Below are 16,731 nucleotides of genomic sequence, written 5' to 3'. Positions count from 1 at the left end.
CAAAGCAGGGTCCTAGGACCAGGAGACAGTAAATGCCTAGGTTCACAGGTCCCACATACAGAAACTCCTCTACTTTCAACTCATAAGCTTCTGTACATATGAACAAGGCAACCAATCAAAATGAAAGTTTCTCAGCAATGCCTGACACCAAAGGAAAATGTTAGCGATTATTTACAAAAAGAATTTATGAACAGCCTTTCAGAACTTAAAACTGTTTGTAAATAAATGAACTTCTGTACCTGAAAAGAGTGGAGATGGTGGAGGAGGGAATAGTTGAGGCAATCACATTACGTGTCTGTGTATAATTAATAAATATATATATACACGTGTGTGTGTGTATATATATATACATATATGTATATGTATATATATATACACATATATACATATATATATATTTAGATAGGGTCTCACTGTCACCCAAGCCAGCATGCAGTGGTGCTATCACAGCTCACTGCAGCCTCAACTCCTGAGCTCAGGTGATCTTCCCATCTCAGCCTCCCAACACATATATATTTGAATTTAGACAAAGTAAAATTACTTTCCAGAGCTAGAGGAACATTAATGGTATAGGTGATTCCACCCATCATTCCACTCTATAAAAATATACTTACAAAGTGAACATATAGGAAAAGACATGAATCTCCTCCTCTCTCAGTAAGTCTCAGTTTATACATGCTTGGCACAGTATGAACAAATTACCAACAGTGATATACTACTATCTGAAAATGGGTATTTTTTGCAGAAGCCAACTCTCTGAACTGACCAACTCTTTGGTACTCAACCAAAGCTGCAAGAAAAGATAACCAGGTTAAACTTAAGTCACCATCTGGCTTCTCAACGGCAACTATACAAGATTTTTAAACTCCATGCTAACTTTAGACCCTAACCTCACCCAAAATGTCCTATTTCATAGTTATCTATGTCTTCCAAACCACTGTAGGCAGGGGAAAACAGAGGTGAGCAACTCAAGAGGCATGTGTGTTCTTTACTGTCTAGATGGCTAAATTCCACCTAATGGGAAAGGAAAATCATACTTAAAATCATGCATTAAACCACATTCTCTTCTTCAACAGAACTACTATATGCTTTCCATAACACCATTATGTCACCCATAGAAGCATTATTTGTCTACTAAGTATTTACTGAACATCCATTATGTGCCAGCAACTGCACAAGTTATTGTGGATACAGTTGTCACAGACAGATATGAACCTTGCACTCCTAGAGCTAATGGCCCAGCAAAGACTAGACATTTAAAAACACAAAAATATGGCCGAGCGCGGTGGCTCACGCCTGTAATCCCAACACTTTGGGAGTCTGAGGCGGGCGAATCACGAGGTCAGGAGATCAAGACCATCCTGGCTAACACGGTGAAACCCCGTCTCTACTAAAAACACAAAAAAATTAGCCGGGCGAGGTGGCAGGCACCTGTAGTCCCAGCTACTCGGGAGGCTGAGGCTGGAGAATGGCGTGAGCCCGGGAGGCAGAGCTTGCAGTGAGCCGAGATCACACCACTTCATTCCAGCCAGGGTGACAGAGAGAGACTCCGTCTCAAAAAAAAAAAAAAAACACAAAAATATAATAAATGTCATAAAAAAGAAATATGAGGCCATACACTGGGAAGCAAGTCCAATGGAGGGAAAAGGGAGCTAGGGAATTTTCAAGGTTTCTATGGACGGTGTAGTTAGTCATCAGCCCCAATTATTCGACTAATTGTAAAGGTTTATGCCTGACTTGTTGGGAGTTCTGGGGTTAACAGACATGTGTTTACACATATAGTCTTGTGTCTGAAATGCACTACCCCTCACCCTTCACACATTCTTCATGGTATCAAACCGTCTTTGCAGAAGCCAAACCCACCAGCCTCAGATGTGGGCTCTCATTTCTTGTCAACACACCAAGTAATGCCCCTCAGACACTCAAAGTTTATTTTCCCTCCACTGGAGGCCAAGTTCTTTGAGAACACAGACTGACTTTCAATCATCTGCTGCCTCAGTCAAGCCCTAAGACATAGGCTGGCACCTAACTGGTTTTTTACAAATGTAGGTTAAAAGCAAGAATAAACAGCATATTCCTTAACAGTGTCTTGCTAGGTATTTTACTAATTTTTACCTCAAATTTACATTATCAGCACATCTATATGTATATACACACACACACATAATGTATAACAGCTTATCACACAATTGGCAGTATATTTCAATTAATATCTGAGGTCCTATAGAACTGGTTTATAAGCTCCTATTCATAGGTTCCTGTTTACGTAAGTAAAACAGGTACTAATGCATGATATTGATTTTTTTCCACCTCTCCACAAACTATATTGGGTTACTAACCCTAATGAAGAAACCGATCTCTTCCCTGATAGCTTCCTTCTTAATAATGTATTCTAATTTAGAATCTCAATCTCTACGCATATCCACGACACCTACTTCTTTCATTTTTTTGAAGAAGGAACTTAAAACTTTTGGCATAAAACATTTTTTTAAAAAAATACTAAATTACAAAAGAAATAGAGTATAGCGCAGTTTTAGTCTCAGTATGACTGTGCTCTTCAAATACTGGCTCCCTGTATGATTTAGTTACAAAATGTTTTAGATAATTGCTCACACAACTCTTAATAGCAACTAGGACACCCATACCTTAACATTTTTTAAAAGTAAAAATCCTTAAAATAGTTAACAGCATTTAACCAATCCCGAGTACCGACACTGAGAATCTGCTTGATTTGCCAAATACCAAAGTGACTAAAGTTAGGTGCAATGTTTGCCTCTATGAATTAATTATAATAACCATCAAATATCTCATTGTGCTTAGGACTAACAGAACTCAACTTCTTCCTTTGTAGAGAGGCCACACTTAATCCACTGCAAACCTCCACCTCAGATTAATACAACACCTTTTTTTTTTTTTTTTTTTGAGACAGTTTCACTCTTGTCACCCAGGCTGGAGTGCAATGGCATGATCTTGGCTCACTGCAACCTCTACCTCCCAGGTTCAAGTGATTCTCCTGCCTCAGCCTCCCAAGTAACTGTGATTACAGGCGCCCGCCACTACATCCAGCTAATTTTTGTATTTTTAGTAGAGACAGGGTTTCACCATGTTGGCCACGCTGGTCTCAAACTCCTGACCTCAGGTGATCCACCCACCTCAGCCTCCAAAAGTGCTGGGATTACAGGCGTGAGCCACAGTGCCCAGCCACAACACTTTTTTATAAAGTAACTATAAGACAAGATCCTGAAAAATAAAGAAGGTACATACAGTACTTGCCATAAGCAGCTTATGATCTGGTAAAGGAAGAAATGCTTTCATTACACCAATGACTTAAAATACATTCATTTAGTTATTAAACATTTATTGAAAGCCTATTATGAATCAGGCTCTAAGATAGAGGTTGTGGATAAAATAAGACCTTCCAATATAAGGGAAAAGACATGTAGACAAGAGAAGGGGAATGAAGTACTATAACTGCTAGAGCAGAGTATATGGGGTAGCACATGGGGGAACAAAAAAGAAAGTGCTTAACTGGGAGAGAGGGATAACATAAATGGCTTCGTAGAGGAGGCAATGCTTGAGCTGAGTTTCAAAAGATAAATGGTAAATAGAAATAAAGACACTGAATGTGAAAAAACAATACAGCCTAAGAGCATAAACAAAAACATAGAATCAGCATGACACATTCAGAAAACTGTTGTTGGCTGAACAATGGTAGTGAACAGGGTTTCAGAAATGCATAAGAAGAAAGGAAGAATAGTGGAAAAATACAGCCTACAGAGTGGCTTATGTGCCATACTAAGAAGTCTGGACTTTACTATGGGCAATTAGGAAACTAAAGGGTTTTAAACCATTAAAAAAAAAGATCTGACCTGAATTTTGAAAAGTCACTTTGATTTAAGTACGCAGGAGATGGGTTAAGAAGGGGAGATGGGTTAAGAGGTTAGTTACAACATGAGAAAGACAACAAAGATTGTAGCAAAAAGGTACAAAAGATATCAGCAATATTAAATCTAAAGAATTTTTGTCACAATAATGGGCACAAAATGAGAACATAATATTTAGCAAATAAATGGATGAGTGATTGATTAGATGTGGGAGATAAGAGGAAAGAGCTCAAAATTCTGGGCTTGTCTGACTGGACATGATGTTTTTCCCCAGGCATAATGTTTGCCTTTGATTGAGGGCAAACATTATGTCTGGGGAAAAACATCACAAACTTAGCACATCAAGCTAACTTTGAGGTGCATATCTAGAGAGCATACGCGAGGGTGTTTACCGGTCAAAGGAGTCTGAAATGCAAGGGCAAAATCTGAAAGGAAGATGATGATTTGGGAATTATCAGTACAGGAACGATGGTCAAATTTCCCACCAAAAACAAGTGAGGTCACCTGGAGAAGATGTACAACAAGGAGAGAAAGGCACAGTCCTGGTATCACCAACACTTAAAAAATGGATGAGGGGGAAGCGGGGCGGGGGGCGGGGGGTGGCACAGAGAACGTATGATCCAAGAGTAAAGAAGAGAAATAAAAAAGTAATTTGCAAGAAACTTTGAAGATAACAAGCAGTAGTGTCAAATTCCACATATAAGTAAACTAAGAACCAAAAAGAATAATTGGGCTTAGTAGTTTACAAATTTGGTCACCTTTGCCAAAGCAGTTTCAGGAGACAAGATGAGGACAGAAACCTGACTACAGCAGGTTCAAGAATAAAGAGATAAACAGTCAGGAAACATACTCTATTCTTTCAAACAAACCCTATTTAAAAAAAAAAAAAGTAACTTGAGACAACATAGACGTAATCTTGTTTTTTTGTTTTTTGTTTGAGATAGAGTCTCCCTCTGTCACCCACCCAGGCAGGAGTGAAGTAGTGCAAACACAGCTCACCGCAGCCTCGACCTCCTGGGCTCAAGCAACCCTCCCGCCTCAGCCTCCCCAGTAGCTGGGACTACAGGTGTGTGCAACCACACCTGGCTAATTTTTGTATTTTTTGTAAAGAATGGGTTTCCGCCACATTGTCCAGGCTGGTCTTGAACTCCAGAGCTCAAGTAATCCACCCGCCTCAGCCTCCCAAAATGCTGGGATTACAGGCATGAGCCACCATGCCTGGCCTGGGTTTTTTTGTTTTTTTGTTTTTTTGTTTTTATTTTGTACCCTCTTTTCTGCAGGAAAAGAGCTCAAAGAGGAGGTTAAAAATAAAGAAAATAGTGGGGACAATATTTGGAACAAGATCCCACCATGAGATCAACATGGGCTTCCAGTCCCATTAGGAGACTGAAAATGCTAAAGGGGAAAAGAAGGCAGAAGTTCTGATTTACAGCTAAGTCCAGAAGAAAGTGGCAGCTTGATGGGAATGGTAAACATTGTGCCTGTGGTAGCCATGCTAATTGCAGGCCCCATTCACCCACCTAAGTCAGGATTGGCTAAACCTGAAGGGTGTGGAAATCACACCTGCAGCTGAATGGGGCTGCAGGAAGTAGGGACTCGGTCTTACTAAACGTTATGAGCAAACTCAACCAACAAAAGCATACAGAACTTGAGCAATACAAGTAATTTCAAAAACATAAGCATAATGAAAATATCTACAACATATACTCAATAGCCTAATTAAAGACTCGTTTTTTTAATACTCAGCATCTAGCACAGAGCCTGGCATATAACAGATGTTAGTATATACAAATGAATAATGTCCTGGGGCTGGCTCGGGCTGCTATCTCAAGAGACAGGAACACCCATGGAAGACAGGCTATACAGGATCTCCATGACCGAGGCAAGAAACTGTCCTTCCTATGCAACCAGAGGGTGGAAAGGCTTAACCGTCCCTGCTGAAAACAAAAGAGGAGAACATGACTGTCAGGGCCCTTAACGATAACTAATTTTTACCAAGTAGGTATATGTGTAGCACTGTGCTATTCACTTATAAGAATTGTATCTTAGGCTGGGCGCGGTGGCTCACGCCCGTAATCCCAGCACTTTGGGAGGCCAAGGCAGGTGGATCACCTGAGGTCAGGAGTTCGAGACCAGCCTGGCCAACATGGTAAAACCCTATCTGTACTAAAAACACAAAAATTAGCCAGGTCTGGGGGGCACATGCCTGTAATCCCAGCTACTTGGGAGGCTGAGGCATAAGAGTCAATTGAACCTAAAAGGCGGAGGTTGCAGTGAGCCAAGATTGTACCACTGCAATCCAGCCTGGGTGACAAGAGACTCTGTCTCCAAAAAAAAAAAGAATTATCGCATCTTAACCTTAACCTCCTACCTTAACAACTACTAGATAGGTATATTTATTCCCATTTCACAGATGAAGAAATAGCTTTAGGAAAGTTAAGTAATTTGTCCAAGTTCACATAGAGAGTCAGGAATCAGGACCACTGAACCTGTCAGTGGCACTTAATATGGTAAGAGGAGGTGGTGGCGGCGGCAGTGGTGGTGGTGGTGATAGGTACTCTTTGAAATATAAAGATACTACCAACAAACTTTTATATATACAGAAACCTTGCCCACTCACCGAGAAGACTGCTCCCCACCCCCGTCATTCTTCCTACTCCCCAAGAGCTTCTCCAATAACTAGCAGGCCTGAGGAGACACTGCCACCTAATGGCCAGTGCCATGAACTATGTCTTGTGGCCCTGTTCCCACACCTCACCTTGGCTCCTCTACCTTCAAGATTGAGCCTCAGAAGGATTGTATGGACACAAATCACCTATTTTGTTTTTGTTTTTTTTGAGACAGAGTCTTCCTCTGTCGCCAGGCTGGAGTGCAGTGACGCAATCTTGGCTCACTGCAACCTCCGCCTCCTGAGTTCAAGCAATTCTCCTGCCTCAGCCTCCCGAGTACCTGGGACTATAGGCGTGTGCCACCACACCCAGCTAATTTTTTTTTTATATTTTTAGTAGAGACAGGGTTTCACCATGTTGGCCAGGATGGTCTCGATCTCCTGACCTCGTGATCCGCCTGCCTCGGCCTCCCAAAGTGCTGGGATTACAGGCGTGAGCCACCGCGGCCAGCCTACAAGTCACCATTTTGCCTATCTTGCTCTCATGAGTGATCCATCCCACACAATCTCTTATTCTGGCACTATCCATAGAACACTGTACCAAAAGAAATGTTCTCCACCTGCCCTTACCCAATACATATATCTGCCCTGTCAATACAGCAGCCACTAGCCAAATGTGGCTATTATTATAATGTGGTAAGGCCACAAAATAAGCATTCTTTAACTACATTAAAAGAAATACAGTCTTAATGCAGACTACTGAAATCTCACTTAATTCTAGTTGGAATGACTTTTCCAAGCATTATATTTTCTCCTTTCTTATTAAACTAATTATAAAATACTCTATATTTTAAAACTTCTGGGCCAGGCATGGTGGCTCATGCCTACAGTCCAAGCTATTCGGAAGGCTGCAGTGGGAGGATCACTTAAGCCCAGGAGTTCCAGTCTAGCCTGGGTAACACAGTGAGACCCAGTCTCTTAAATAAATAAATAAAGCCAGACATGGTGGCACACCCATAATCCCAGCATTTTGGGATTTTGGGAGGCCAAGGTGAGTGGCTCACTTGAGGCAAGGAGTTCTAGACCAGCCTGGCCAACAGGACGAAACCTCATCTCTACTAAAAATACAAAAATCAGCCAGACATGGTGGCAGATGCCTGTAATCCCAGCTACTCTGGACACTGAGGCACAAGAATCGCTTGAACCTGGGAGGTAGTGATCTGAGATCACACCACTGCACTCCAGCCAGGGTGACAGAGGAAGACTCTGTCTCAAAGGAAAAAAAAAACAAAAAACAAAAAAACTTCTCCCTATAATTCCACCACCCTAACACAACTATACAACTATTCTCATTACTTCATGTACCCTTCTAAATTTCATCTACACACACAGAGTCAGCTATATGAACTATCTAGGTACAATTTAATGTTCTACTTTTAAAATATCATTGTTTTATAAATATATCCCACAGTTCTACAGTTATATTTGTTATTTTAAGGGCTACAATATATTACATTGAATTAATGTGCTATAAATCATTTAATCACAGATGACTGGACCAAAGATTATAAATATCTTTATCCTTCATTAACCACTTTTAGAGCTACCCTGGCAAAAGGGATACAAAGGAGGTAAGGGTAAAGAAACATGTCACATGATGAAAAGCTGAAGCGCTTATAAATGGTTTAGCCTAACAAAGCCAAGAGCACACATAACGGTTGCTGTCAAATAGTTTAAGATACTATATGTAGGGTCAAAATAGTTTAAGTTGTGACAAACGGGCAGAACTAGGATCAATGAATAGAAATAAGAAAAGGGCAGTTTTCAGCCCAAAAACTAAAACTTTTCAAACTATCAAAATTATTCAACAAAGTAAACTACATAAAACACTAAGCTGTCCATCTGTGAAAGCATTAAAAAATAAGCTAGATAAGCACTTGACAGAGATAGTGCAGACTCTTAAATTGGTGGGAGGTAAGATTAGATAACCTCTCAGGTTTCCTTTCACTCAAATATTCAAATATTTATTAATCACCTAGCTAGTATAATCCTAGCAATGTGCTAGGTATACAAAAATGCACAGAACAGACCTGGTCCCTATGCATTTTGCACTTACAACCTAGTGTAGGAAATAGAGAAAAAGAAAAAAAAACAATTAAATAATTACAAATCATAAGTGCTATAAAGGAAAACGAAATGCTTTAGGAAAAATAACAAACTGGGCATCAAGTAAGGCCTCTCAGAGGGAGAATATTTTAAAGTTGTGGACTAAAGAAGAGTTAAGCTATGCAGAGAGTGCTCTGGCGCAGTGGAAAGCCACTTAATGTATAAACGAGCGTGATGCGATCTGATGTACTTTTTGTTATTATTATTACTTTTTGGAGACGGAATCTCGCTGTCACCCAGGCTGGAGTGCAGTGGCATGATATCGGCTCACTGCAACCTCCACTTCCCAGGTTCAAGCAATTCTCCTGCCTCAGCCTCCCAAGTAGCTGGGATTACAGGTGCCACCACCATGCCTGGCTAATTTTTGTATTTTGAATAGAGATGGGGTTTCACCATGTTAGCCAGGCTGGTCTTGAACTCCTGACCTCAGGTGATCCGCCTGCCTGGGCCTCACAAAGTGCTGGGATTACAGGCGTGAGCCACTGCACCTGGCCGATCTGATTTACATTTCTAAAAGATCATTCTGGCTGTTATGTGGAGAATGAATAGGAAAGAAGAAAATGTAGAAGCAGGAAAAAATCAGGTAGGAAAGTCGGTAGGAGTCCAGATGAGAAATAATGATAGACTAGGCTGGTTGAAGTAGATGGATAGAAAGGTACAAACAAGTTTCTTTCTTTCTTTTTGAAACAAGGTCTCTCTCTGTCGTCCCACTCTGGAGTACAGTGGGGTGATCATAGTTCGCTGCAGCCTCGACTTCCTGGGCTCAAGCAGTCCTCTCATCTCAGCCTCCCTAGTAGCTGGGACTACAGGCACATGCCACCACACCCAGCTAACTTTTTAATTTTTGTAGACGGGGGTGGGCGGGGGAGTGTGGTCTCAGTATGTTGCCCAGGCTGGTCTCGAACTCCGGAGCTCAAGTGACCCTCCTGCCTCCCCAAGTGCTGGGATTATAGGCGTGAACCACTGCACCCAGCCAATAGATGGGTTTCAAGATATATAGGGGAGAGAGAAACTACAGGACTCAGTGATGGGTTAAACTCAAAGGATAAAGTTAAAAGAGAAACCAAATAAGCTTCAGGTTTCTGGCTTGAACAATTAATGGGATTGTGCTGTCATTTTCTGCGACAGGAAGGTTTGTGGGAGGCATGGATGTGGATCAAAACAGGAATCCAACTTTAAGTCACCATGATTGTGTTTAGGCCCTTAATAGAAAGTTTCTACTAAAAATTACTCATGACTCATTCTTTGCTCTTTAAAAAGCAGTCTGTGGAAGGAGAAATACTATAAAGGTGACTGGGCCAATTGAAAAAAAAATTGGAATACAAATGGTAGATTAAACTATTGCGTCAATGTTAAATTTAGTGAAGTCCATACTGTACAATTTTTTTTTAAATCCCTATGACTGGGAAATACATGTTGAAGTATTTAGGAGATAAAGGGCCATAATATGCATATAAACATATATATACCTATTCATATATACATATATATGAAAGAGAGCAAATGGTAAGAAAATGGCAAAAAACATTAACAAGTAAATCTGGATAAAGAGTATTTAGATATTTTTTGTACTAATCTTGGTCTTGCAACATTTCTCTGAGTATAAAATTATTACCAAAAAAACCCAAAACTTTTTTTAAGACAGTCCCAGATTTCTCTTATTCATGCCAAATAATTCAAATTCCTTTAAACTCACCTCATATGTATCTCCCTCCTCAACCTACTCCATCATGTCTCATCCATTACACAGAGTAGTGGCCCCATCAGGGAGACAAGGAACATACACAACATACTCTATATAAATAAATGGCATAAGAAGTGAGGATTCTCCCTCGCCCTCGCCCTCGCCCTTGCCCTCTCCCTCTTCCTCTCCCCACGGTCTCCCTCTCCCTCTCTTTCCATGGTCTCCCTCTCCCTCTCTTTCCACGGTCTCCCTCTGATGCCGAGCCGAAGCTGGACTGTGCTGCCACCATCTCTGCTCACTGCAACCTCCCTGCCTGATTCTCCTGCCTCAGCCTGCCGAGTGCCTGCGATTGCAGGCGCGTGCCGCCACGCCTGACTGGTTTTCGTATTTTTTGGTGGAGACGGGGTTTCGCTGTGTTGGCCGGGCGGGTCTCCAGCTCCTAACCGCGAGTGATCCGCCAGCCTCGGCCTCCCGAGGTGCTGGGATTGCAGACGGAGTCTCCTTCACTCAATGCTCAATGTTGCCCAGGCTGGAGTGCAGTGGCGTGATCTCGGCTCTCTACAACCTCCACCTCCCAGCCGCCTGCCTTGGCCTCCCAAAGTGCCGAGATTGCAGCCTCTGCCCGGCCGCCACCCCATCTGGGAAGTGACGAGCGTCTCTGCCTGGCCGCCCATCGTTTGGGATACAAGGAGCCCCTCTGCCCGGCTGCCCAGTCTGGGAAGTGAGGAGTGCCTCTTCCCGGCCGCCATCCCACCTAGGAAGTGAGGAGCGTCTCTGCCCGGCCACCCATCATCTGAGATGTGGGGAGCACCTCTGCCCCGCCGCCCCGTCTGGGATGTGAGGAGCGCCTCTGCCCAGCCACGACCCCGTCTGGGAGGTGAGGAGCGTCTCTGTCCAGCCGCCCCGTCTGAGAAGGAGCCCCTCCGCCCGGCAGCCGCCCCGTCTGAGAAGTGAGGAGCCCCTCCGCCCAGCAGCCGCCCCGTCTGAGAAGTGAGGAGCCCCTCCGCCCGGCAGCCGCCCGTCTGGGAAGTCAGGAGCGTCTCCGCCCAGCAGCCACCCCATCCGGGAGGGAGGTGAGGGTCAGCCCCCGCCAGGCCAGCCGCCCCGTCCGCGAGGGAGGTGGGAGGCAGCCCCCGCCCGGCCAGCCGCCCCGTCCGGGAGGGAGGTGGGGGGTCAGCCCCCACCCGGCCAGCCACCCAGTCCGGGAGGGAGGTGGGGGGTCAGCCCCCGCCCGGCCAGCCGACCCGTCCGGGAGGGAGGTGGGGGGTCAGCACCCCCCCTCCCCGGCCAGCCGCCCCGTCCGGGAGGTGGGGGGGCACCTCTGCCCGGCCGCCCCTTCTGGGAAGTGAGGAGCCCCTGTGCCTGGCCACCACCCCGTCTAGGAGGTGTACCCAACAGCTCATTGAGAACAGGCCATGATGACGATGGTTTTGTCAAATAGAAAAGGGGGAAAGGTGGGGAAAAGTTAGAGAAATCAGATTGTTGCTGTGTCTGTGTGGAAGGAAGTAGACATGGGAGACTTCATTTTGTTCTGTACTAAGAAAAATTATTCTGCCTTGGGATGCTGTTGATCTATGACCTTACCCGCAACCATGTGCCCTCTGAAACATGTGCTGTGTCCACTCAGGGTTAAATGGATTAAGGGCGGTGCAAGATGTGCTTTGTTAAACAGATGCTTGAAGGCAGCATGCTCGCTAAGAGTCATCACCACTCCCTAATCTCAAGTACCCAGGGACACAAACACTGCGGAAGGCCACAGGGTCCTCTGCCTAGGAAAACCAGAGACCTTTGTTCACTTGTTTATCTGCTGACCTTCCCTCCACTATTGTCCTATGACCCTGCCAAATCCCCCTCTGCGAGAAACACCCAAGAATGATCAATAAAATAAACAAATAAATAAATAAATATATATATATATATAAAAAAAAAGAAATGAGGATTGCCAAGAGGCTTCTTGCAATCTTCCATCTCCCATGAAGTAGCATGTGCTCTCTGAAATGTACTATGTCCTGATCTGTAACAGATGGCTGGATGATAGACTCCTTTCAGTTCTGGATCTACTCTTCTCATGTAATATATAGCAATAAATCTACCAAATTAGCATGATCATGTGATATCTGCAGATTAGATGTTCCTCCTACATATGCCCATGGTTTAGCTGGGTATCCCTAGGTATAGCAATTATTACACTATTTTATTTTTAAAATCATGTTTTCCTGTGTTCTACTTTCTCCACTAGACTGAGACCTCCTTGAAGACAAGCAGCACAAAATATTTAGTTTTTTTTTTTTTAATTCCTAAAGATTATTCTAATACATGGCTGGGTGCGGTGGCTCACGCCTGTAATCCCAGCACTTTGGGAGGCCAAGGTAGGCGGATCACCTGAGGTCGGGAATTCAAGACCAGCCTGACCAACATAGAGAAACCCCGTCTCTACTAAAAGTACAAAATTAGCCAGGCGAGGTGGTGCATGCCTGTAATCCCAGCTACTCGGGAGGCTGAGGCAGAAGAATCGCTTGAACCCGGGAGGCAGAGGTTGCGGTGAGCCGAGATTGCGCCACTGCACTCTAGCCTGGGCAACAAGAGTGAAACTCCGTCTCAAAAAAGATTATTCTAATACATAAAAAGACACTTAATAAAAGCTATTGGGTGAAGAAATAAATATCACTGAAAAATCTTTCTTATGATTGCAGCTCTACTAAACATTACTTTTTTTGCCCTTGGATACAGCAGTATGTAGAAAGTCTTACTCTAATTCAATAGCAAAGGAGACATAACTTCTAGGGGTTGCTGACAAACAAGTGAAAATGCCTATGACCTTATACACAATCCCAAAATCTTGTTTACTTCAATAATTATCATTATAATTTTATAAAATATGATTAATAAAAAGTAAAATATCTTGGGCCTGAGTCTCAACCACACCTTAAAATTAAAGTACATTATATTTAACCCACAGTTCAATTGGTCAATACAACGTAAGGAACACTTCAGTGACAAGAAAACATGTCATAATCTAGACCTTTGTTCTCTATTATAAAATAATCTAAGTAAAATTATGTAAGGTAAGAACATTCAACTGAGTAAACAAATTAAAATCTAATCATTTTACTGGGAAAGGGCAGTTTTTCAAATGCCACAACGAAACTTGCCAAATAGAAGAGTACTCAACAAGAATGTACATAAAGTACTCCAAAAACAAAACTGTGTAAATAGACATGTATCTTTATCCAAAATGATTAGATGGTAACATTCAAAATGTCCCAGTACCAAATGTCAAAATACTAAATGCTTTTAAAGTATGTTTCTGAGTTGTATTAAGAGGAGGAAAATACAATGTTTCTTACTCAGCTAGGTATCCTGTCCATATTCTTGCTGTCAATTCTCCTAGTTCCCTTAAGATCTCCCCAACTCATGGAATATAATGCACGTGATAATTTGCAATAGTTCTCAAACCCGTCCTGTCCTCTCCTCATTTCTTAATCTAGAATCTTACTAGCTAGTATTCTAGCACAGGCCTACTTAATTTTCCGCCTTCAGTTTCTTCCCCTTCAATCCATTTTTTACACTTTTCCTGAGATTAGTATTCAAAATTCTAATTCCGATCATATCACTCTTCAATTTTAAAATCCTTCAATAACTCTCTGAAGTACAAATACCTAAAAACAGCAGCTGATATTTATTAAGTACTTGTGTGCCAGGTACAAATGTTACCTAATTTAAACCTCACAATCCTACAGTGTAGATATTTTTATTATTCTCATTTTGCACATTTAAGGAAATTGAAACTTAGGGAAATCACATATAGACACATAGCTAGTGAGTGCGTGCAGCTAAAATTACCCAAGCCTTCGAATTGCGGCTTTGGTATTCCTTTACAGCTGCTCCCTCTCACCACTAACCAACAAACCCTGCCTTCCAACCACACCAAACCACCTCAAGATCTGTAATCATAAGATGCTCTTTCAGGACTCCTTACCAAAGTGCACACTACTCCCTTGACTCAAAATGCCACTTGTCCACCGTGGGAATTCTCTCCAAAGCATTCTTCCTTTCTTTCCCACCTTCCCTAGGGAAAATCCTCTGGACAGAATAACATAAGCCAAAATGATACATACATCCCACTATCAACTTCAAAATGCTATAATACAGAGTACTCAAATAGATTTTCCAAGGTAATGTCCATGTGACAATCTAATGCCAGCCTCATAAACCCCTAAATTCATCAGAGGTAAATAAAGATCAACAATAAAGAAACATATATTCAAAAGATAACATTAAAAAAGAAAAAAATAAAGCAACAGCAAAAACTAACAAAAAAAAAACCTTTAATACTTTTGTAAAATATTCACAAAATATAAATTCAGATATTTTGAAATATGTGCAAAATACATTTAGAATGAGAGAATCTTAAGTTTTAAAGTAGAAAATACTGCAAATCTGGACTTTTCTTTGACGGCACAAATAAGACAAATCCTATCTAAGATCTACTATTAGCAAACCAAAAAAAATTTCAAGAGACTAAAGGGCTCTTCTATGACTATGTCTGGGGTCAAAAAATAATTCTTCAATACTAAACAGCTTGTGCTTATGAAACATATTAAATGATGCAGAGGTACAGTGATTAAGTTACCACATCTCAAGCATCAGCATATTATGCCAGTATCTTCCAGGAACATGACACATTGATATCAGGAGCTTCTCCTGGGTATTAACTGACAATTAAACAGCATCTTCACAGTACTAGTCAAATACATTAGGTTACAATTCCACACACTAATACTCAAATTTTGTCTATTCCAGTCTCAAGATCTTCCTGTAGTTAACTGCTCTTTTACTGTCATGTGGATAAATAAGCACCAAACGTTACCTGCAAACTTTTAATCTCTTTTCTAGCCCATTAATAAAATGTCTACAAGATCCTTTCTGGCACATATCCCAGCCAGAGCCGTTTCCATACAACTTTTCTTGCCTTTTCCCTGTAATACTAACACATCATCTTCTTAAGCCTTAAGTAAATTTTTTGTAAAAAGTAAAAATTACTTCATAACAACATCATCTAATTGAGATATTTAGGAAATCGACCTTTAATGGATACAGAATAATCAGTCCATGGTTTAAGCACTATTCTAGGGTGGTCAACTCAAAACTATATTTTGTGTTTGGCGTTCCTACTGGCTATAACCAAAATGCATTTCCTGAATACTTGTTTTGTATAATACCCAGGACCAGGTAGAGTACTTACACTGACGGGGCTTCTTATAGTGGTCTACTCTAGATATTAGACCTAGCCCAAGGAAACAGTAAAGACAATGAAGAGAGAAGAGATACCTCACAAAGACTTGACAACAAATGGAAAATGAGAGATAAGAGAAGTCTGGACTACTCCCAGGTTTATACTTTGGGCACCTGAATGACTGGCAGTATCATTAACTAAGATGGGAAAATTAGCTGACTACATGAACAAGAGACAGTAAAGACAGCTGGAAAAGAATAGGTATGAACAAGAAACAGGGCCAGGCATAATGGCTTACACCTGTAATCCCACCACTTTGGGAGGCCAAGGGGGCCGTTTGAGGTTAGGAGTTCGAGACCAGCCTGGCCAACATGGTAAACCCCGGACTCTACTAAAAATACAAAAATAAGCTGAGTGTAGTGGCAGGTGCCTGTTATCCTAGCTACTTGGGAGGCTGAAGCAGGAGAATTGCTTGAACCCGGGAGGCAGAGGTTGCAGTGAGCAGAGATCACACCACTGCACTGGGCGACAGAGCGAGACTCCATCTCAAAAGAAAAAAGAAAGAGAAAGAGAAACAGGAGAACGATGCTTTGGAAGGCAAAGAAAGTTCAAGAACATGGGCATGATGGTCTAAGGTTCACAGTGGATTTAACAATTAAGAACTATGTCAACAGATAGATACAGTTTCTGTGAACAGAGGAAGCAAAAGTAAAATGTTGCGGGGGAATGAGTAGTACACAACGCAAAAAAAAAGAATGTGTGAAGTGTGTTTGGAACAGAATGTAGAAGGTTTTGCTGCATGAAAGGTTCATGTAGCAGAAGACAAGAAAAGGAAGTCTGAGTCAAGGGCTTTGAATTCTAGATTTTATTTTTGGAGTTTATTCTGTGAACAGGAGAAGGAAAGGCATGTAACATTTTTTTCCCCCTTTTTAAGACAATTTTCTCAAAATGTCTGAGAAAATTGGATGACAGGGTACATGACAGGGTACATGAGGAACTGGAATGACAAGAGTTAAGGCAGGAGTAGCTACTAAAAGGTCTTACAATTATCTAAACAGTAATGAGGACCCGAAAGAGATTGGCAGTAGCCAAAGTAAAAAATAAGGAATATGTGACAGAGATATTCTTTATTCCCAGGCTGCCTGTGATACTG

General features: G+C 41.9%; 1 protein-coding gene across 12 annotated transcripts in view, besides 2 other annotated features; it reads right to left on the bottom strand.

The window, feature by feature from the left end:
- The window catches only part of CCSER2 (coiled-coil serine rich protein 2), a 189,929-nt gene that overhangs the window by 159,494 nt on the left and 13,704 nt on the right, over nt 1–16,731 (bottom strand). The gene's annotated exons all lie outside the window — the stretch shown is intronic.
- Nucleotides 6,457–6,751: an enhancer, noted in NCBI's record as "tiled region #13339; K562 Activating DNase matched - State 12:CtcfO". NCBI's record gives its function as "activates a minimal TATA promoter and a strong SV40 promoter by Sharpr-MPRA in K562 cells {active_cell/tissue: K562}" and the evidence as "EXISTENCE:reporter gene assay evidence [ECO:0000049][PMID:27701403]".
- Nucleotides 7,858–8,027: an enhancer, noted in NCBI's record as "experimental_17641 CRE fragment used in MPRA reporter constructs". NCBI's record gives its function as "activates a minimal promoter by MPRAs in K562 erythroleukemia cells, with activity observed for the non-introgressed 10:86110838 variant allele {active_cell/tissue: K562}" and the evidence as "EXISTENCE:reporter gene assay evidence [ECO:0000049][PMID:34662402]".

This window comes from Homo sapiens, chromosome 10, assembly GCF_000001405.40.
Source record: "Homo sapiens chromosome 10, GRCh38.p14 Primary Assembly".
Classification (NCBI taxonomy): Eukaryota; Metazoa; Chordata; class Mammalia; order Primates; family Hominidae; genus Homo; species Homo sapiens.
This window is presented reverse-complemented; position numbering and strand designations above follow the sequence as displayed.